At 36.1% G+C, this 22,201-nt stretch overlaps 1 protein-coding gene across 4 annotated transcripts in view, besides 1 other annotated feature; it reads right to left on the reverse strand.

Moving 5' to 3' along the window:
* Positions 1–22,201, reverse strand: part of TRPS1 (transcriptional repressor GATA binding 1) — a 260,480-nt gene that overhangs the window by 22,342 nt on the left and 215,937 nt on the right. The window lies entirely within an intron of this gene.
* Positions 21,504–21,583: an enhancer, noted in NCBI's record as "active region_27821". NCBI's record gives its function as "activates an Ori minimal core promoter by ATAC-STARR-seq in GM12878 lymphoblastoid cells {active_cell/tissue: GM12878}" and the evidence as "EXISTENCE:reporter gene assay evidence [ECO:0000049][PMID:35858748]".

Consider the following 22,201-nt stretch of genomic DNA (forward strand, 5'->3'; position numbering starts at 1 on the left):
TGGGATTAAAACACCAACAATGTTGTCAAGAAATTCCATGAGTTTCTTACATAGTGGAGAATAAATATAATTGGTTATATGTTAATTTTATATTAAAAAACTGAAAAAAAAATGAAGCAATAGAGTACCTAGGAGAATGCTGTAAATGTCAGCCTTATAATTATTTACTTTAGTAGGAGGAAAATAAGACACTGATAACTTATGATTAATTTTTATTGCCAACTTATTTTTATTACTATGTTGGAGTTCTCTCAATTCACATACATACTCAGTTAACATAAACATAATGATGTATGTGAGACTATGGAATGTCATGTTTGACATATATGAGGCATTCAGAGATCATTAAATTTTTTCTTTCTCTCTTAATTTCAGAAGAGATTGAATAATTCAATAGACATTAGATTTTAAAGATATTGAAAACTGAATACACTTTTGGCACTTATATACAAGTGTATAACTCAATATCTATGTTAATGTGCATATGCACAAAACTTATACAAAGCGCCTCATATTTATTTTTACAACATGAGAAAATGTATTAATGGTGACCCTAAAACTCCCTTATATAAGAAACTGTCTTTTAAAGAGTTTATTACATCAATGACACATTTAAAAATATATGAATACATCTCTCCTCTCTTTCTTTCCTATTCTCTCCTTTTGACTGCATTCTAAAAGATCTTTAAGGATTACATTACATAACTCTGGTGGTGACTTCCTCCATTTTAAAGATACATATTTCTCACACACAAACTAAGTTGAAATTTGAGGAAGGAAATCAGGGTCCTTTCTAGAACATAAAGGAACACATTGTAGATCACATTCCCTCATGCATGTTTTATTACTTATTTCTAGCTGCAGGTAGCTTTCTTCTTTCATATAGTGTAGCCACATAGATTACACGCACAAAATATAAAAATAGATATTTGATTCCTAGATTATAAATAAAGTTGACTCACTTGGGTTTATACAGACCCAGACATAGAAACTTTGCTAATTTTGAGCAAATTTTGGGTGGTAGCTGCACATTTATATCCATAAATTTTATTCCATTTGGAATTTGACTAACATTGGCTACTTTATAAATATATATGCATGCATTTATAGTTAATACACACACAAACATACATTTATAATATGTATAGGCATATACACATATATTCCTTAGCTTTTCAAAAAAAGTAGCTTCAAGGTCCTCTAGTTTAATATATTTAAAAAATTCAGAGGCTAATGCTCTTATCTTTTAAAATGTCAACTTGAAAAAAATGGAAGTCATACTTCTCTCCCAAGATAAGGAGTTATATCTGACTTAGATAATTTTTTCTGTAAATAAAATAAATATAAAAATATAATGGCAGAATCAGTAAATCAATGACACTTCAAGGACCCAGCAGTAGGATTAAACGAAGAATTTATTTATGCATAATTTTAAAACACGTGCAGTTACTACGTGCTTCAAAATGTTTGTACTCTTTGAAAGAAATGTAAGGTGGCTAGATTTTACATAGGCCATCCTCTTTCCACCAATTGTTTACAATTTATTTTATCTATAATTTTATTTAAAAGTCCACAATTTTATTTAATTAACTTGTGTAGATATACACACATACACCAAATGTGTGTGTGAATACAGACATATAATTTTTATTCATATTTGTATTTTTTTAAATTTATTTTTTAAATGCATTCCAAATGAAAGCAGTAATTCAAAAATAAACAGAATGGACTGATTAGTATCAAACTAACATTGAACTCAATTCACATTAAAAACATTTAGGTACAGAAAAGTGTGCCTGCTATATAAAAGTAATAACTTTTAAAGAAGTAGAAAATCACCATTAGCAGAGGTTTAGTTAGTCAATCTAGTGCAGGATAAAAATGTAGTGCAGGATAAAAAAATAGATTTGTGTAAGTTTACAAATTTCAGAAAATGACCAAATTACTCCACTTATCTCATTAACTTGACCTCTTTCAGGATTTGACCTTCCTAATAGATTTGTTTTATAAGATATGACATTGTGAACAGCTGTGCTATTCTTTCTTGAACTTGACTTTTTTTTTTTCTTAATGATGAAAATAGGCTGAATTTACTAACGCATGTGTATTCTTTGGTAAAAGTGGGGGAAGGGAGGAATCAGAAATGGAAAAATAATGTGAGTTCCTATCTGAGCAAGTCATTTTGAAACTCAGAGAAGACACTCAAGTATTACAAACATTTGTGGCCAGTTAAGAAGTGATATAGAAAGAATTTGAAAATATCACCATAAAGTTTGTTAATATAAAGAGGTACGATTATTCAAATGGGAAAGCAATCGGGATCAGAATATTTGAATGTTCTGATTTTTAAACTCCCAATCACAGAGTGGATGCCATTATATACCCATTGGAAACTGCAAAATGTTCGGCCTGTTAGTAAGGCCCTTTCCAGGTTTTTACTTTTGAAAAAAAACATAAATCAGGATTAAGATAGTCAATTTCAAGGGAAAAATTCTCTAAGTTTCTTACAGAACACAAAAACTTGCAGGCATATTGGGAATTTTAATATATCCTAAAAATATCTTTAGATAAATAGATAATATTTAGTATTGCAACTAAATAATATTTAGTTTGATTTAATCTGAATTATGGTTTTATTCAGAATTCTCTCTTAATGGTAAAAGCAGTACTGAATTTATAAATGAAGTACAAAGGGAGAAAACAAATGTTTAAGTCATGATTTCTACCGCTACTCAATTCAGTATCAAGTTTAATCTTGTAGAGGTAGTTATGTTTAATTGTTATTATCCTACTTTGGCTCCACAAGGCTTCTTGACTTATAATGCAAGAAAGTACTTCAGACAAGTAATAAATTGTAGCACAGTACTAAACGTACATATGAAAGCCATTGTTAATTTCAATTACACTCTTAATACATTAATTATCTGTTTATCTGATGACTGCTTCTGATGGGTCCACCATTTTCCAACATCTCAAATACACTGTTCTTTTTACAAGAGGTGGAGGCATTTGCCGGGGAAAAATCAGACAACTTTGTTTCCAGTGTCTCTGGGATAATTGTTACCTTTCTCCTTTTCAACTTTAAAAGAAAGCAGTGTCTATTTTGCTCAGGGCAGCTGTTTAAAGCGCCTGCTGTCAGAATCTTTTCACCTGAGTAGATTTAGGATTATTTAAAAATGATTATTGTATCACACTAAGCTTTCTACTGCTGTTAATAAGTGAATATGCAAAAGGCCATACGCTGCATGATAATTAGCCCAGGATATCCATTCAGACTACCTTGGTGTGTATGTATATACATAAACATGTATTTTACATAGGTGATTACAAATGGTTTGACTTAATACAAAAGTTAGACAAATATTTTACGTAGAATGTAACATCTATTGGTAGTCTGAGATATAATAACAATTATTAAAATACTTGGCCTTATATTTATAGATCTGAAATTCATATTTCAAAACAAATACATTCTGAAAACAATATTCATTTAAAACAGAGAGACTTCTGGAAGTTGATCCATGCTATTAACTTTATTGTGCTATGCAATATGTTATTGTAACATAATCCCTGAATATTAGCAAAGAGGTTTTACTTTAATAGTCTAACAGCATCATTCATACCAAATTACTGTAACAACAGCAATATCCTTACATTTTATAAAAAGTTACCTTTATCACTTAAGGTTCATAAAATTGATTAAAATCAATATTCAGAAAATATAATTGAGTTCATGGTTTAAATGATTGGAATTCCTTTTATTAGAGAAATAGTCATTTTTAACTTGGCAATATTGGTGTGATTCGCCCTTGGAATTACAGTTAAAATGCATTTTGGTCCTAGCCATAAACATTGGTTTCTTTTAGCTGCCTTCTAAGTTGATTTAGATTTTCCGTAGCAACAAATGCATAGCATTCTCTGCCCCTCTATTTCTTTGAATGCTTATAACCTGTCGAAATGTTCTTGGCTTTTAAAGGTAGCAGACAGGAAAGGAATAAACTTATAACCCAAATGCCTGATATTTAATCAATAAGGAAGAGTTTTATCCTTTAGGGATTTACTACCTTACTTATAAACTCTGCCTCCTCTTCTCTCTTAGGAAAAGAGTCTGCTTCCCACAAAATCCAAAACCTTTCATCACTATAACACATCGAAGAACATAAGAAATGTGCTCTTATTTACTTATTTATTATAAATTATTGATCTATTAACAGCATTTAATACAAGTGCTAATCAGTTTCTATTAAACAAAGATGACAAGGCCTCCGAGTTTATACTTATGTTTCTACTTCTAAAGCTTCTCAGTGGTTTATATTCAAAATAGTTATTATATTCTCCATCAATCAATTTATTGACCTATCTATCTAGCTAGCTACTGAAGTTCTCACAGTAATAGAAGATCTACTTTCCTGGATGTCAATCGCATTTCTGGAAAGAGGCAAACTTAATCAGAGTAATGTTGATGAATAAGGTGGCAGAACAACCTTGGTAGCACCCAAGGGTGATAATGAAATACATAACCATTAATATGGCATGAGTGACTGATCGAAATCAGAACCAGTGCTGGCTGCAGTGAAGGAAGAGGATTCTAAAGACTCCCCATGAGGCACATGCTATCCCTTTACTGCTGGATGGCAGCAGTTCCCACGAGGTCCTCAGGGAAGAGGTGGGGTACTCGGGGCTGGCAGGATCCATAGGGGACTCACGGTGGGCTGGTTCATGGGAATTGAAGTGATCTGACTGGGTTCAATTGATTCCCTGTAGTGTCACTTTAAGTAAAAATCAGATGTAACTAACAAAGCACTGGTGTGATCTCAGGGCTTAGAAACTAGTGCTGATCATTATTCTAGAGAGTTACTACAATGTTCTTTCCAAAGTCAGCAAAACCAGAATAAATTAGCAGCTTCCTCAGGTGGTGGTTTTGAAAATCTACACTCACTTGATATAAGTTCTGGTATGTTTATTTATAAACGTCTTATTACTTTAAATTATCGCCTCATGGAAGAAAAGTCCAGTGCCTTTGAAGTGTTTATAATTTTGAGGGGAAGTAAGGTAAATATACATGAAGCAATTAAGAGAACGATGCAAGAAAGCAGACATGTCTCGATACTAGGATTTTTTTTGATTCTTATACTTCTAAATGCTACAACAAATGAGAAATCACACACACACACACACACACACACACACACACACACACACACACATTCAGCTAAGGAGCCCATGCAAATAGGTGGTGAGACTCAAATAAGCCTTTAATCATTACTCATAACTCTATCTTTTATTTTTCTTCAGTTGTGTGTGGCAGAAAATACAACTCACATTGTATGACTATGAAGGAAATCTTCTGACTCATGCAACTGAAAATCTGGGAAAAACTCTGACTTTAGGCATATTTTGGCCGGGATTCAAGTGATACCCTGAGAGCACCATTTTTCTTCCTCTGGAGTATGCTTCCTCTACACAGACCCCAGTCTCAGTCAGACAGGCCCGGATGGTAAAATGGCCACATATCTAGTATTTTATGCTCTTTTAAACAAGTCACGTGGAAAATACTAAGTGCACTTTCTTGAGAGGTCAAACCAATGTCCTCAAATAGGGTCTTGTTGGGCAAACTTGGGTCATGTCCCTGCCCCACCATGGCCAGGTGAATAGAATTCCCACACTGGCTCTGGTGTACAGCAGTTTCTAAAACTTATTATTATTGTTTTAGAGACAGGAGTCTTCTGTGCTGCCCAGGCTAGCCTTGAACTCCTGGTCTCAAGAGATCCTCCTGCCTCAGCTTCCTGAGTAGCTGGACTATGGGCGTGTACCACTGCACTTGGCTAAGTTTCTCAAACTCTCATCTGTGTTACAAATTACCCTGGGATCTTGTCAAAATGCAGATTTTTATTTATTGATCTGGGATAGGATCTCAGATCTGGCATGTCTAGTAAGCTCCCAGTTTGAGTAACAAGAATGTAAGGCACACAATTTGGCTTTGAATCTAGGGCAAAATCAGCTTCACCTGAACTAGATGAACTAAAAATGAAGGAGTGTAGATTCTTAAGACAAAATAAAGGAATGGTACCAGAAGTAAAGCAGTAAAAAATAAAAAAAAAGTCAATACATTTCATAGATACAGACGTATACATATTTCTTTTCAGTCTTCTACAAGTTATCTGTCCAAAAGAGGAGTCTTTTATAAGTAGAGCATTGGATAGTACTGCTGACCACATTTGAGTAGTCCATCCGTGCCATCTAGTATTTACTTTGGTTTGAATAATCCTTGAAAGAGTCCATCATTATCTACACTTCTCATGTAACTGTTTTGACAAAATCAATCCAGGACATTTTCTTTTAGTTTTTTACAAAAGCCACACTATGAGGAAGTAGTATAATGGTCACTATACTGCTGAAGAGTCTGTTTAGAAGAACTTGGCAAACCTTTAATGGGCACAAAAAGCAGGGATACCCCCATGACGGGTGCCATGGTCCACTATTTGAGATGCCATCACTGCCATTTCCTTAGTTCACAATGAGCATACAGGATATGCTGGAAGGTTCACAATAAAAGCCCTTGTGGCCAGCTCATAGGAGAATCCTCCTGAAAGTTTATCTGTACTTGAAAGGCCACTAGAGCTCTTCAGTTGTCACAATGATGACAAAGGTAGCATTGGATTCTTTTCTGAATGCATGTATTTACTATCCTGGGTCAAATATCAAAAAGTATTTAATAGGCTAATAATTGTTCCCATTGGCACATACGTCAAAAAATAAATAATTGACAAAAGTGTCATCCTTGTCTTCTAGAAAGGCTGAATGTCTACACGAACAAGAAGGAAGTTTTTGCCATCTTTTATATGAAGTAGCTAAATAGGATTGGGGGGGCAGGGGAAAGGTACCATTTCCAGTACTATGTCTAGCCCTATCTCATATTTATTGTAAATATTAAATTTACTATTAATGTCAACTCTTGCTGTCTTCACATCCTTAAGGAGTTGGTGTACTCCTGTTTTGGTTTGTCTGGGATACAGGTCGGAGTCATAGAGATCGTGAGACTACTTTCTATATTCTTTCTCCAGAAAAGAAAAGCCAGGAGTTTTATTTTCCTCTATAAACCAAAGGCATCTTATAATCTAGCAAGCGAATCTCATATGTGTTTTATGAGGTTATTAAGGCTAAAATACCAAAACATGGCATTTTTTTTCTACATTTAAATGAAAGCAAGTCAATACCATCAACACATACACAAGAGTCAAATTTAAAAAAATAGGAAACTGCAAGGTTCACTTACTCCCTAAAGCATGTAAACCTAGTACCATATAGTTTTATAGGCACAGGACTGCATAAGCATCAAGGCCATGGCACACTAAATGAGACAACCCTGTGATATTTACCTGTAATTCATGTATTCTTTCATTCATTTTAAATGCCATTCATTGAGTATCTGCCCTGGGCCCAGCACCATGTTGGATGCTCTACCTGTAAAAGGCATAACTAGGCACACAATGGTAAAAGACATGACCCAAGGTCTCAAGTTGCTCAGCAATTATCAGGGAAGCCACATAAGCAAAGACCTGATAGGTGCTCTAATAAAGTCATTTTCTAGGTTCTGCTTCAGAGGAAAATAAAAGAAGAGCAACTGGTCAATCATGATGAAGGGTCATGAATATGAAGCACATAGAATGCCTCTACCTCTGCCAGTCACATGGTTGGTGTTCAGTAACCTAGTTTCCTCCTTCTTTCTTTATATATTTAGATACAGGGAGGGGGAAATCAGAGAGCATAAACAACAAATGATCTCTAATATCTCTTCTAGATCTAGGATTTAAAGAATAATTCATCTTTCTCCAGATGGTCTATAGTAACCTCATCGGCTTTGAGATTTACATTTTCTGCCTCCCTCCCTCTCCCTGCCCCTCCTGCCTTCCTTCTCCCTCTCCCTCCCTTGTTCCATTCCCCTTTTCTGCTTTGTTTCATTCTTTTTCCATTTATCATTTACAGACTGCCTAAGTTCCAGTCACTATACACTGAAATTCTAAGGAAAATTGTAAATTCACAGTAAAGCAAGCATTAGATTTATTCCTTTTGCTAGGCTGCGAAAATAAAGCACCTGAGGATCATAGATGACGAGGACCTTGCTGGCTTCAGTCATGCATTTTTCTATAAACCAGTGTGGAGTCTACTCACCTGTTCTATCCCTGGGACATGGGGTAGTGGCGGTAATTCTTACAAGATAGTGATTTGCTGTGATTTTCACTTCCTGGCATAGCACAGTGAGAAGTGCAGTGGGGCTGGGAGTTTAGAGACCTACACTCTAGTGTGGTCCTACCTGGGACTATTTTTTGACTAGAACAAGCTAATTGATTCTTTCTTTCATTTATTTACACCTGCTTTAGAAAAGGGGCGGTATGATCTCTGCACTGTCGTTTACAGTGATGCTAAAAGGATAACAGTTAGAGCTTGTGAAACTGACATGGAAGTAAAAATCATGTTACAAAGTCAAGGGATTTAAAAGAGGATTACATGGACAGACATTGAGCTAGTGGACATGGCAGAGACAAATAAAGCAAAGTCATTATGAAGTCATTAGTTTTTCAACCAGGCTGTAAGTTATTTTCCATACTATCCTCTAGGACAAATGTGGTTAACTATGTAATGTTCTTCAGGTTTTTACAAAGTTTATTTTTAAAGTAAATCACTGGTAAAACTAAAATTTATTTTAATAGTGAAAAAGTTACATTTAAAGAGCACAGTTTTTCCTCATTAGCCACAGGGGACATTTTGTACCCTGTTTACATTATTATTAGCACTTTGCAGCTAACAAGCAACTTTTAAATACTGTTCTGGAACAGCTGTAAAACTAAACCTTCCAGCCGTTTGTCCCTTCTGCTGAATATCCAGAAATGCAGTGTTATGACATGCAAGAACATCACCCTAACTTCCTTTAAACCGAGAAAGCTCAGGATGGTAGAAAATGAATTGAATCAACAAGAATCCTCTCCTTTACTGTATACAGTGTCTCACTCTCTGATTAGAGCCCATGGCACATTGCAGAGACAGCAACAGCTGTTTTCTGTCTTTTCATTCCCTTCTTCTATTAATGTTATTTCAATTGTGTTATGGGCTGCACTTTAGATCTAAAAAGAAACATTGAGTTTTATTTGAATGTTTAAATGATTAATGGCCCTCTAGTGCAGTTGTCCTCTCATAATTGCCACAGAGTTTGCTGCAATTTAGTTTAAAAATCCAGACCTCTGTGTACTACGGAAAGCAAACGCTAGCTTGGGAATTGGTCACAATGATGAAAATTCATTTTTTAAAATGCATTTATTTCCTAGTCATCTATGTGGGCGATTTCTTAAATTTTTACGTACACCAAGTCCAAGAAAAGTCTGAAAAACTTATTCTGGAAGAACCAAGGTATTGCCACATCATTCGGGAGTTAATGGCTAGGTGCATGCCTGAGAAGTAGAAAATGTAAGGAGAGAGAGGCTCACGCCAATAGGAAGACCGACTGGCTGAGACAAGCCTCCCTGTTCTTCAAAGGGAATTCTTGCATTTCATCTGAGAGCAGCACACAGCTGTACACTGAATGGGAAGGAAGTAGTTATGTGCTCCTCTCATGTCATCAGGAAAAGGTGCCTGTAAGTTGTAACAGGACCATGTGGGTCTTACATTCTTCTTTTTGATACAGCTAATATCCTCATGTCCCAGTGAAAGGACAGCAGCCTCTGTAAAATATCTAACTCCTAAAAATATAGATGTTTACATTTCTATAATGGAAAATGTCCTGGTGTTTCCTTGCCAAGGTTTCAGCAATAAGTCTTATAATAAGTTTGTGTTGCTCTCCTTTCTTTTTATAAAATACAAAATACATTACAGAATAAAGATTCAAAGGCATTTGCAGAGTATATACAGTAAGACATGAAGAATGGGAAGCAGGATGAAAACTGACATTATCAAACCACAATGCCTGAAAGTTACCTAGATAGTACTGTCATTTTGTTGCGTTTTTCTTTTGAAGTCTGCTGGCTAAAATGTTTTCCGACTTTTGGCCAATTTTGGGCCACACTGAATGTTAAATAAACTATTATTTAATCAAATACAGGCATATTAGTCTCACTCCTGCTGACAACTTCAATTAGAATATTTTTGCTTTGCTAAAAAAAAACCTCATGATCTTTAAACTGTTAAGGCCTCTGAACAACATCTGGTAACAATTTTTGATATATCCAACCATCAAACTTCTATCTCCATGAAGTGGTTTATTCAAGATTTGTTTTAATTAGGCCGCCTTTCTAACTTCACATAGCTTTCAAAAGGCAGAATCACTCAGATGTTTTAAGTTGTAAATACACCGAAAGGTTCAGAGGCTGTAATTAGAGCTTCACTAAGGTGGACTATTTATGTTTATTAGCCAGATAACTAGGTTAATTCAGTTGCCTCTTAAACAAGGACAATAAACTATTTCTAGTTTTAGCACATGGGTTTTTAATTTTATAAAACTTACGGCGCTCTTAACACCTTACTCTACTCACATCAAAAACAGTTTTGGTGCATCCTTTCCATAGGAGCTCACATACGAAATACATATTTCTGTACTTGGCTAGGCTCAGTTCAGTTCTGAAAGTTTTCCATTTAAATTTAATCTAGAGAAGACAAGATCGGGAAGAGTAGCATATACTTGAACAATGAGTATAAAATTAAATCTTTTTGTAGATTCCTTTTCCTAAAGTGTCTCCCTTCCGTCAACCACAGCATTCTGTAAGATGCTGTTTTAGTAAGAAATCATGCTTAGTTTAGGTGTTCATTTTGTAATATATTTGCCTCTACATAAACCTTTGGGAGTATAAAAATCTCCACTCATTTATTTGCATCGCAGGCACAGATTAAAGGCAAAAAGTAATGTGGAAACTTAAACTATTTATTTTATGAGGTAACTATTTTAGAATCCACTGGGAAAATAATGAAAAATGGCCTCATTATCCCTCTTTTTTGGTGAACCAGACTTTATTCTACCATGATAGGTCTCCCAATTGAGAGTGAGAGAGAGAGAGAGAGAGAGAGAGAGAGAGAGTGTGTGTGTGTGTGTGTGTGTGTGTGCAGGTTGGAGGTGGGATGGTAGCCTCTGGCTTTTCTCCACAAGTTTTTGATGTTATTCCCTTTGAAGCACCAGCATAACTTTATAGTTTTTTATTATTACAAAACTTCTTCACAAATACAGGGGTTTCTCACCATGGTTCACAAAGCTTAAGAATGTTGGATCCCTGATACTTTAGCTTTTCTGGGTAAAACTGAGTAAAAATTATTGTTGTAAAGTTCATTATTTAGTCTACATGATGTAGTGCATGTAGATATTTAGGAGTCCTTGGAGAATGGACTTTGAATGTCATATATAGATTCGCTGGTATTATAGAAACAGCCAACTTCTCTAAGTACATGACACAGTGTGGGCCACAACAAACACTTTTACCCACTGATTTTCTGAAGGAAAAAATACATTTAATTTTCTATTTTTGCTTGCAGGAATATGGAAGAAAGGTAAGCATGAATTGTCACCTAAAATTGGAAACTGCAGTGAGGTTGATACTACTTTGGAAAATTCTCTAATTCTGTCTATGGCAATAAATAGGGGGCTGCACTAATACATATATAATGTACATACATACTTTCTTCTTGCTGGCGAACAGAGGTCCATATCTGGGTAGCAAGCATCCAAGTATGGTGCGTGTGTGTGTGTGTGTGTGTGTGTGTGTGTATGTGTGTGTGCATGTGTGTGTTTGGGGGAAGGAAGGGGTTACACAGCATAGTGCAAAATGAGAATTTAAGTTATCAACATTTAAAAATTGGGTGATTTGACTGGGCGCAGGGGCTCACGCCTGTAATTCCAGCACTTTGGGATGCTGAGGCGGGCGGATCATTTGAAGTCAGGAGTTTGAGACCAGCCTGACCAACATGGTGAAACCCTGTCTCTACTAAAAAAAAAAGGCCAGGCGCGGTGGCTCACGCCGGTAATCCCAGCACTTTGGGAGACTGGGGCGGGTGGATCACGACGTCAGGAGATCGAGATCATCCTGGCTAACACGGTGAAAACCCATCTCTACTAAAAAAAATACAAAAAAAATTAGCCGGACGTGGTGGCGGGCGCCTGTAGTCCCAGCTGCCAGAGAGGCTGAGGCAGGAGAATGGCGTGAACTTGGGAGGCGGAGCTTGCAGCGAGCCGAGATCTTGCCACTGCACTCCAGCCTGTGTGACAGAGCGAGACTCCATCTCAAAAAAAAAGAAAAAGGAAAAAAAAATAGCTGGACGTGGTGGCATATTCCTGTAGTCCCAGCTACTTGGGAGGCTGAGGCAGGACAATCGCTTGAACCCAGAAGGCAAAGGCTGCAGTGAGCTGACATCATGCCACTGCACTCCAGCCTGGGTGACAGAGTGAGACTGTCTCCTTGAAAAGAAAAGAAGTGGGTGATTTGACATAAAAATCTATACTTTCTAGGTTTTGTTGACAGTTATAATGTCTCATATTACTAGGTTCATTTTCTCACATGGCAAGACATAGCTGAGGTGCCTGTGACTGCCTCCTTTAGAAGGTGTATTCCTCACTCCACAAACCTCTTGGCCTTGACATTTGCACAATCTGCTCGGTTCTCATCAGCATTAATTTTGCTAAAATAACCTTCAAGTCCTTTGATATTAATTATCCTAAGCCTTTCTGTCTTTACTGCCTTGGTAGTCTGGAGGTAGTGGAGCCTGCTGGTCTGGGTTCAAATCCTGCCTATGACACTAACTAGCCATGTGACCTTGGGCAGGTTGATTAGACTCTCCTCAATGCAATGTCTTCATCTGTATAAGCATATAATAATGACATCCACCTAGCAGGCTGGGGTGAGGACTAAAGGAATTAATTCAGTGATTGGATAACATTAAGTACTCAATAAATATTGGTTATGATCGTTCCATTTCAGAAATCCATCCTTTCCTCAAACTCAAACTCAGCAATCCCACACCTCCTGTGACTGGCTGACACCAACATTTGGATGAGCATATAAAATGTATCTCAGTGTCTAATATATCTATAAACAAATACTTCAACTTGAGTATTTTGTCACCTTTCTAAAAACATAGATTTACAATGTATTCAATATAGATCTAAAATGAAGATCTCACCTCTCCCCAAACATTTAAAGATCCCCATTATTTAGAGAAAAGCAACCTAGGGCTCTCACTCCTTCGCCATGTAGTTTATCATTAGCATCTTATCTTCCACTAAGGTCCCCCATCCTTACCCCTTTGATCCCTCTACATGGGATCACATGCCAGCTACAAAGACTGTGTACTTGCCAGTTTTTATAAGGAATGTGATTTCTTACCATCATGTCTGGTGTCCAACATGGTACATACAATAGAACAGGTGCTCTGATAAGGAATGTGATTTCTTACCATCATGTCTGGTGTCCAACATGGTACATACAATAGAACAGGTGCTCTGATAAGGAATGTGATTTCTTACCATCATGTCTGGTGTCCAACATGGTACATACAATAGAACAGGTGCTCAATACATTTTCGTTAAATAAATAAATGAAGAGTGAATCCAACTGATGTACGTTCTTCCTATCCATCTTTTTAGGTCCAGGTCAAAGTACTTCTTTTAGCTCCTCAAGATATCTCTGTCTGTCTTCAATCTGTTCATTTCATTTTATTGGTAGTTCTAACATTTTCAAAGTATACCTTTTTCTACAATGTTTATAAACTTGACTATATCTCCCACTAACCTATGAGCTTCTAGAGGGCAAAGAGCACCCTTTTTTGGGGGAGTCTCCCCAGTATGTCTTTCAAATCATCAGTCCTCAATTAATAAAATGAATTGTGTCTCATCATCTCAAAACTCAACAATTTTTTTAAATGGTATTTTCCAACAAAGATGATTTTCTTCCCCTTTTCATCATTCAGTGTGACTCCACCATCCTGAAATTGGCACCAACTTCCTCCACCATATCCAATTAGTCACCAAGTCCTGTAGATTGTTTCTAGTATTGAGGTTTTCCTTCTATGAGGGGATAGCTCCTTGCACTTGTGTCTTTGTTTTCCAATCCACCAATGATATCATTTCTAGGTTAAATTTCTGAAGACAACCTAATTATATCATGTCTTCGTTTATAACTTTCATCTTTTCACAACTCAGTGGATAAATTCCAAAATCCTTTGTGCCACATTCATAAGGCTCTTCATAACCTAGATTCCTCAATTACCCATCACCCTTCTCTGAACCCTCCCAGTCAAACTAGTTTATTCTAAGTTCCCTCAAACAGACCTCATACACTCCCAGCTCAGTGCACTTCATACATTCTTCTCTCCCCTCCTCTCAACTGTCAGAAACCTGTGTAAACTTCACAGCTCAGCTCAAGACTCCACGTTCCATGAAACTTTATATGCTACAATTTTGTTTCCAGGGCTTCTTCTTAAGAAGCTTCAGGCAACTTGCTTTATGTCTACTATGCTTTCCAAGCCTACCTCGTCAGCTAAACCTTTTATGCTGTCTTCCTACTTATCATTTTCTGCAACATCCCCAAAACCTTTCTTTAGTGAGTTCTGTTGAAGAATTTCACTATTCTTACCATACATCTTGAGTTACATTCCTTTTTAAGTTGGTCCAGAGATGTTAAAACTAAATTATACCCCAATTCCTCTTTCACTTGAGGAAACAAAAGAGTCAATGAGGTAAAACAAGTGTTTGTTACTGTATGAGATCGCAAATTCGGAGAGGCAGGAAACTATGACTCTTAATTGCCTAAAAAAACTTTGTTCACTAACAAAATGAGAAGAATTAAATGACTCAATATATAAATTTAAGAAAAACAGGCACACTAACTTGAAGACAATTTTCTTTCATTTTCTTTCAAGACATGGCTTTAATAAAAGGCTAAAATCGCAGAAGGTGAGATAGAGTAGGCAACGAAAAATTACTAAGGTAATACCTTATTGTTGTACTGTCACAGCAATGTAAAAAAACTTACCTATAAATATCAATGCATAAGGGTTTTAACATAAAATGTAACACGCCCGTCAAAATTTCTGCAGGACACATTTATAGAAGTATACTTAAATATATGATGAATATATTTATTATGAAGTTTTTTTCCCAGTAAATTCAATTCTTTCCTGTATAACTCTTTTTTCCCCCTTTCGAACACTGATCACTTTTTAAGTCTGAGTTTGGATAAAAGGACTGTGAAATGCACCATTTTGGCTTGCACACATTTAGATTTCATGATAAGGCAGGTACGGCTATATGGACTGCTGTTTGTTTTGACTTTGCAAAGTGTTTCTTTGTAGAGTTCATTCAAAATGTAAGGATGTTTCCAGCAGAAACATTTAAAACACTCAGATAAGTGTTTTCAAGCTTTTTGAAACATCATCTACATAAAAAGGAATGTGCTGTGTATGTATTACTTCTATTTATTACTCTTCGCTTCCACCATCAAAAAAATATTTTTTTTTCCTGTCAGACAAAAAAAAAAAAACCAACCCAAAAACTGTTTCTTCCCCTGATCTCACACTTTTCACCTGCACCAGCTGCTTCCAATTACCTGCTTCCACCTGCAGGACCTTGTCTAGTATTGAGATTGGTTCCTGTTTCAAAACAACCACCAAAAGTGACCTGGGCCTGAGGCAGAAGGCTGCTTCAGTTAGGAGCAAGAATCTTGCATCAATTTAGTTTCCTGCTTGTTGTTCCTCTAAAATTCTTAGTTCTCCACTCTTGGCCTGGTTTCTGATCACTTGTATTTTTCCATCCCTGATAGGCACATCTTCCTGATTACAGTCTACCATGCATTCTCGCTCTATCCATGGCTATTCTAGAATCCTCGAATGTTAGAGCTAAAGAATTTATAGATAACAATCATGAACCCAGAAAAGTTATGGGGATTACAAAATCTGACAGACTGACTTATACATTGGGCATTATTCAATTGGAGTCACCAATTCAGACTTCCTTTCTGCTCTATTCTGACGTCTTTTTATGTTTCTAGTTGAGTCTCCTTAGCAGTTTTCAGTGCTTAGCCTTGTTCTAATATGATGATATTTGGGATGACACATTTCCTGGTCTACAATACTGTTTTTCAAAGGTGAGGGTGACCCATATGCCACCCTCATCAGAATAACCCAGGAGTACTTGTTTACAAATATGTTTCTTTTGCCCTACTCCAAGACCCGGTGAATCAGAATCACTATAGTTATAAGTTCCAGGAACCTGTATTTTTAGCCATTTTTAGCAGGGTCTCCTGTAGTGAGTCTCAGACATGCTCAAGTTTGAGAGTCACTTCCAGTCTTTTAGCTCCAGCTGTACTATGGCCTTCTGGGTTCTGCTACATCTTCTTTATCAAAGCTACTGACTATACCTTTGCCCTATCCTTGCTCCAAAGGAGCTTAGTCATGTGATTGAAACAAGAGACAAAGCGGAGTTGCTCAAATTTGCTACTGAATGTATTTAAAAGTAATAAAATTTCATATGTAAGAACACTGTTAAGCAATTCAGACAGATTTTCCACCTATGTGTCACTTAATTTGATTTTTTCTTTAATCCTACAAAACAAAAATAAAAATTATCTCCTTTATGTGTTTTAGAAGCTTATAGGCTAATGAGCTTTTGAGCAAAAGATATAAGATATAAAAGTTATAATAGACTTAAAAACAATAAAACATTATGTCCAGATGTAAATGTGAGTACAAACAATTACCAACCAAATCCAGTTGGTATTCCTATTGAATTAAATCAGCCTAGTTTCTTTTTGGAGGAAAAAACTTCAGTTACACTTTAGAAAGAGTTTGATGCTTTTAGAATGTCATATTTTTATATATATATAATATGAAATGTCAGCAATACCATTCAAAAATAATTCAGCAGATTAAAAAATACAAGTATTTTAACTGTTAACTTTTGTGATTAAATACTTAAAAAAACCCAAAACTTATGTTCAGTGTCACCTACTATGAAATCACTGTACAGAGATCTAGGTCCATTCTTTTACTTTCATAACTGTTGTGAAAGTTAAAGTGCATTAAACCTTTGAAAATAGAAATGAAAATGTCTCAACTTTCTAAATCACATAAAAGAGAATACATTTTATGCTTGCTTAGTAAGCCTCTGATGTCTTTTCCTTTCAATTATACTAAATTACTGACTTGCCATGATGACTAACATAAAAGGACCATGCAAAATCCTGTTCACATACCAAAGAAGATATATAGATTCAATATAATAAAGTGCAAATAATTTTCATTTTTGTAAACTAAACAACAACAACAACACTTGTGAGTATTATCTTAGCCATCCTCCAAATCTTTGTTCAGGAAGACTGCAAACAGACATCAGGTTCACAGAATTTCATTAGTAATTTATTCTTTTCTACTGACCACATTGCTCGTATTGTTTTAGACATTTTCATTATTCTTGTGATGTTTGAGAAATGACAAAATTCGAGAAGAGGAATCTTACAAAGATACAGCATGGCACAAAAGCTATATGGATAATTGCCTTCACAAATGTAGTTCAGCTCTCATCTCTCCTAATTAGCCTCATTACCATACTTTAAGAGAGACTAGCAGTCACTCAAGACTCTGTTCTTTTCTGTCAGAACGAGTGCTGACAGCCAAATGGACAACATATGGAAAAGAGCTCTCTTTCCGGCTATTCTTTCATGCTTTAGGCCTTTGGTCAAAAACGCAGGCCACAGAAGGGTTCCCAAACTCCATCCTCAAATAGGTGTCTCTAATTCCGAGATAGACAATGCACTTGAAATGCATTCATCTCTCACTTTATCACAACTTTGAGAGGCTGGTCACTCATTTCAAGTATGTTCTATAGGAACTGACCATTTTCTAAAATAACTTAAAAAGTATAAGCATACTAATTCTACTAGACAACTTTATTTTTCGGACCATCACCATTAAACAACTATAACAAAACTCTGACTCCTGGATATTTGATGTTATTAGTTTGCCCTTGACAAAATCATAATGTCTCCTGAAACTCCTTCTTAGAGGCCAAATATAAAACTTCGTCGATCATCTTTTGAAAGTGAGTTTTAAATATTAATTGTTAATAATGTCAAGCAATCCTGATTCAACGTAACTGTCAATACAGACCCCTTTGCTGTAGGAAAAACACTTGGAACCACATATATTCTACTTTCTAATGAATTTCCTTTTTAAAAATAATATTTGTTGATTTAAAAGAAGGATCTAACCTATTATAATATTTGAAAAGGTCATTATTTGATTATATTAGTCACAATTATTACAATATGACTAATTTCCTCTGTTATAAAGAAAGGAAAATATTTCAGTTACTTTAGCTGAAATAATTTTAAGTTACAACTTAACTATTAAGAACTTCTCTATTCTAGGTCCATTTGTATATGCAATCACAGATATCTTTCTTTTTCCTGATCACTTTTCCAGTTCTCTAAAAAAAAAGATTTTTGCTAGATTTTATTTTGCTTTTGCTGTGCAAAACCTATGATGCAATCTCAATGGCAACAAAATCAGGGAAATGGATTTTCTGCACTTTGCAGTTTGGGGAAACTAACAGTCCATTCAGCGTGACTGAAAAATACCCTGAAGGCCAATATTTACTAAGCATGGCACACACACAGGAGCCTTGTTAAAAATCCACAACAAATCTCTCATTGCAAACAAATCCAAAGGCTTCAGAGCTTCTGCAACTGTCTGAGTAATGTTGATTCTGACAGCAGAAAGCTGCTTTCTTACTAATCCAGCAGCTAGCTAGAGGTCTGTTGGCCCCACACCAAAATTTCATGATTTCTTCTCCATATTCTCTGCAACATATTCCTTTTGTAACAATCTACAGAGATGAAGAGCATAATATTAAGGTGAGGTTTTCTTATCTGCCTGTTTAATATTCAAATGAGATTGGTAAACACCAACTAGCTATTTAACCTGATCAGTCCAATAATGGCATACATAATTAATGCTGGGTTCCCATCAGACTGCTGGAAGAGAAATAATGGTCAGAAGCATTCCCAAATAACAGGAAATACTTTGAGCTTCACACATAACACTTTAAAATGCATGTTGCCTTCTCTTGGAGATGCCAAAGTAATATGTGATTTAACACACACACACACACACACACACACACACACAGACATACACACACAGAGGAAAATACTTGGAAGAGGAAAAAAGTGAGGGAATTTCTTGCATAAACAAATTAGAGTATATAGGAACGTGATGCAACTACACACAGTCACATCCTGTGCAGAGCCATGAGGCTGTGTGTAACGGAGAATTAGGAGAAGTACTATTCCAGAGTTTTCTTACAAAAACCTGATTAAAAATTTAAGTAAGTTATTTCTGAAATTTATTTCTTGCACCCACCTATGCAGCCTGGGAAACATCTGTTCTGATCGTGATATGGAGCCAGAAAGTGAATTCCAAACCCAATGAGATTAGACAGTCCATACTCAGAGTCCTTCTGTGTCCGCAGGAGCTGCTCTGAATGGCACAGGCCTCACCGACCATCTTAAATGCTTTGAACATGCTTTTCATTCTTCACGCTATTTAACTTTCAAATGCCTTACATTCCATTTCCAAAAATTAGATAATACAATAAAGCGCCAATGATTTTGTGAGGACCACTTAAACGAAATCACTAGCTAATGCGCTGACTCTTTTTTTAAAAAAAAAAAACTTTTAACCCTGAACTGGGAGTAACAGTCCACATGGTTTTCTTTTCTACCTCTCCTTTTTATAAATTTAGAATCTTGTGGCCTGGGAAGGTCTGCGTCAGGAACTTCTTTCTTCCCCAGATTTAGGAACTGTAACTCATGTGACACCCATACATCCCTGAACACCACATATACATGAAAAAAACCCCAGCAGTGAAAAGTGGTTCCACACACATGTGCCTCATTCTTGCCTCTTCCTCAATAAAAACAAATTAACAGCAGAGCCTTGGGACAGCGTTTTAGTGTTCACACCTTACAAAAATTTCATAGATCCATAATGCATCCTTTTGGGAACATAACAAGTTATATATGTTTGAGACCATTACGAAAACCCACAGAACAACAAAGAGAGCCATCAGAATTCTGATGACATATTACACATATTACAGATAAAATTTTTCCTGTTACCCCAAAAGTGTACAAAAGGGTGGTTAGAGTGAACAAGGACTCCTAGCATTCGGCAAATTCTTCCCCTTGCCTATTCTTCTTCACATCTTTACTTTTAATGTTATTTACAAAGATGACGTGACATAATATAATAATGCAAAGAAGGTAAAACCTGTATATTCATGTTGATTGCTATATTAGATGTGCAGTGCTCTACTTAAAAGAATGGCGCCCTATAGCTAAATGTGTGGCATGCTGTGTTCCTACCACTTCTGAATATCGGAAAATCCAAATGTGGCTATATACACACAAATGTATTCTTATTCACTACTCATTCCTCATTCATTCAACATTCATTCTCTCTTTTTTTTTTCAATGAGTATTTTCTACGTACCAGACATTGTGCTAGGTTCATCATCTTGCATTTTAAATGACAGAAGGGGATATAAAAGGAAGAAAAGTGACTTATCTCATGCACTGATACCAAATTTCAAACAGGAATGGAACTGATGAACACATGAAAGAAACAGACTGCAAAAAATGCAACCCCTTTCGCCAATAAACACTAGATCATTTAAGGGAAGTCCCTCAAGAGTTACTGCTTCCTGATTGATGTAATCCTAACCACAGCCTGTGGTCCAAAAATTGCCAATCAATCATGTATACATTACAGGAAAAATTGGGTTAACATGTCTTTATGCTGGTGCTTCAATGACGTTCTGTTCAACCCTGGCACAAGATACCCTTTGCAGAAAAATCAGCCTGGTGGGGTATCGTTCGTTTGTTTTCACCTCACCATTTTGTTATGATGTATAGGCAATGAGCCTCATGTGGCCTTCCTAATCTGAAAATGAGCCAAGAGAAAGAACGTGCTCAGAAGTGTTGAAAGAAAGGCCCATTCTCTGCCCAGGGAATTGCATCTAATACAGGAAATGAACACAAGTTTGCTGTAAGCTGTCCAGCTTCTGAATCAGCTGTTCCCCACTCCGACTCCTACTCCCTCCCCAACCCCCACTTCTAAAACTTAAGCGCTAAAGGCCAATATTAAAGTTTTGAAAAATGTGTTTTCCCCTTCTTCTCCTATGTTCTCTCAAAGCTGTGTAAATCTAACTTGAATGGTAAGCGGCTTTATTTTAACAAGTGTGAGTTATCAGAGTTCGCATATCAAATTAAACCCAATGAATTCTGGACTTGTTTTAAATTTCAAGCCAGAGGCCCTAACTCCCTGCATTTCACTTGGCGGCTGGCCAGACTTAGTAATAAAGTGCTAAGCAGAAGACAGGAAATACTAGAGAAGTCGAACAATGTTATGACAATGTTTATAACTTTTACAGTCAAGCCTGGCTGCACATCTGCACAACATCAGACTCTGGTCAGACCCGCAGAGAGGAAACCATTCCTTAGCTGGCAGCGTTTTGCTACAGCCAGATGTTATCATTTTACTGGTATCTTTTCACCAAACAAAAAAAAATATATTATGTATTATATATTTACATTTCTGAGAAGGAAATGGGGGGGTCTCTTGTTTGAAAGAAATGGTATGTCAAATTAATTCTGTCCCATAATTGATTTATTCTGACAGATATAAGACAGTTTGCAGACAATGGCATCTTTCTCTTTGATGTGATAACGTTCAAACTGCTTTGTTGTAGAGCGGGGCAAAGGCTTGTTTGATGCCATTAACTGAAATACAAAGGAACTTCCAAGTACCGCAGCCTTGGGATGCTTGGATAAGACTCAGATGCCTGTAAAATTAGGCAGTCACCTGACAAGTATTTATATAAATGAGATGACATTAGTGGTGTTTCCTCGAGCACAGATGTAACATAAGAATTTATCATTTTAGTTGAAACTGAGAAAACGAATGTCTCTTTTACCTAAATCATTTCAAGAGCCTGACATATAAAATGTCGCATCACCATTAATAACGCTCTAGATATATCAATGTGGAAACAGATTTTTAACTAACCTAGGCTAATATCAAACAGAGCAAAATCAAAAAAGCTCAGTGAGCATTTGTGAAACAGTATAGTAATAAAATAATTTTGCTTGTCCTCCACTTTCAATTTTTTTTTTTT

This window comes from Homo sapiens, chromosome 8, assembly GCF_000001405.40.
Source record: "Homo sapiens chromosome 8, GRCh38.p14 Primary Assembly".
NCBI lineage: Eukaryota > Metazoa > Chordata > Mammalia > Primates > Hominidae > Homo > Homo sapiens.